Here is a 1,741-nt window from a genome sequence, read left to right on the forward strand (position 1 = left end):
AGAGACTCTGTCTCAAAAAAAAAAAAAAAAAAAAAAAAAAAAAAAAAGGATGACAGCAATAGACATGAAGAGAAGTGGACAAATTGGGATCCAGGGTATATCTTGTCGGTACAGACAAGAGGATCTGATGTTGGATAGGCTGTTGGGGGTCCGAGAAAAAGGAGGAATGAAGGATGACTCCCTGGTGAATGTCTTGAGCAATTGGGTAGATGATGGTGATATTTATTGAGATAGAGATTAAAGAAGTTTATGCAGAGGAAACATCTGTGCTTCCTTTAACTCATTTGTAAAATGGAAACAGTAGTACCTGCTTCATAAGTTTATGGTCAGGATTAATTAAAATAAAAAGCCAGGTACTAGTATGTCCTCAAATAATGTTAATTAGTTATTGTCATATGCCGAGCATATGACAAAAAATTGAATACCTGCTCTTTTTTTTTTTTTTTTTTTTTTGAGATGGTGCAATCTCGGCTCACTGCAAACTCCGCCTCCCGGGTCCCGGTTCAAGCAATTCTCCTGCCTCAGCCTCCCGAGTAGCTGGGATTACAGGCATGCGCCACCACACCCAGCTAATTTCTGTATTTTTAGTAGAGGTGGGGTTTCACCATGTGGGCCAGGCTGGTCTTCAACTCCTGACCTCAGGTGATCCACCCACCTCGGCCTCCCAAAGTGCTGGGATTACAGGCGTGAGCCACTGTGCCAGGCTGAATACCTGCTCTTGGCTGAATGTGGTGGCTCACTCCTGTAATCCAAGCAGTTTGGGAGGCCAAGGCTGGCAGATCACTTGAAGTCAGGAGTTCAAAACCATCCTGGCTAATATGGTGAAACCCCATCTCTACTAAAAATACAATAAATTAGCTGGACACAGTGGCACGCACCTGTAGTCCGAGCTATTTGGGAGGCTGACGCAAGAGAATCACTTGAACCCGGGAGGCGGAGGTTGCAGTGAGCCAAGATGGCGCCACTGCACTCCAGCCTGGTGGTGACAGAGCAAGACTCCGTCTCAAAAAAAAAAAAAGGAAGCCTAGCATAAATAGAATATGACAAGTTGTTGGAATACGGGATAGTGAGGACAATCTAATTATTCAAGATGGTATAGAAGAAAATTTTCAATACAACAGTCCAAATAACAGAGGAGCTCCAAGACCAAACTGAATACTTTCTGTATTTACAGAAGACAGTCATAGATTCTTTTACAGTGCAGTATCCAACGCAGGCTGAGACTGTTTAACAATATGCTTTCTGAAGAAGTAAAAGAAAGCCGTGATTTGTTGCATTTGCCAGTTTGTGTGGTATAAATACTCCCATTGCAGCCAATTTCAAATTACCAATGTGATGTCAACCAGCTCACAACATTTCTGAAAATTTAACAATTGGTTCTTATAAATGATCTGAGCTATTTTCAGCTCACACTGAACTTAGAATATACTCAGCAAAAAGAGATAAATGATGACACTTAAGGAAGATGAATCTAGTCTAAGCGTTCAGTTTGAATAAGAAATAACAATTGAAGGTAAAAAGCTCTGTATCAGGCCAGGCACGGTGGCTCATGCCTGTAATCCTAGCACTTTGGGAGGCCTAGGTGGGCGGATCACCAGAGGTCAGGAGTTCAAGACCAGCCTGGCCAACATGGCAAAACCCCATCTCTACTAAAAATACAAAAATTAGCTGGGCGTGGTGGCGCATGCCTGTAATCCCAGCTACTCAGGAGGCTGAGGCAGGAGAATCACTAGAACCCAGG

General features: G+C 43.0%; 1 annotated feature.

Moving 5' to 3' along the window:
* Positions 594 to 758: a silencer, noted in NCBI's record as "fragment chr6:15212336-15212500 (GRCh37/hg19 assembly coordinates)". NCBI's record gives its function as "represses an EF-1alpha promoter that drives an FKBP-Casp9 reporter gene in an ReSE screen in HepG2 liver carcinoma cells and K562 erythroleukemia cells {active_cell/tissue: HepG2 | K562}" and the evidence as "EXISTENCE:reporter gene assay evidence [ECO:0000049][PMID:32094911]".

The sequence above is a fragment of the Homo sapiens genome, chromosome 6 (genome assembly GCF_000001405.40).
Source record: "Homo sapiens chromosome 6, GRCh38.p14 Primary Assembly".
Lineage (NCBI taxonomy): Eukaryota > Metazoa > Chordata > Mammalia > Primates > Hominidae > Homo > Homo sapiens.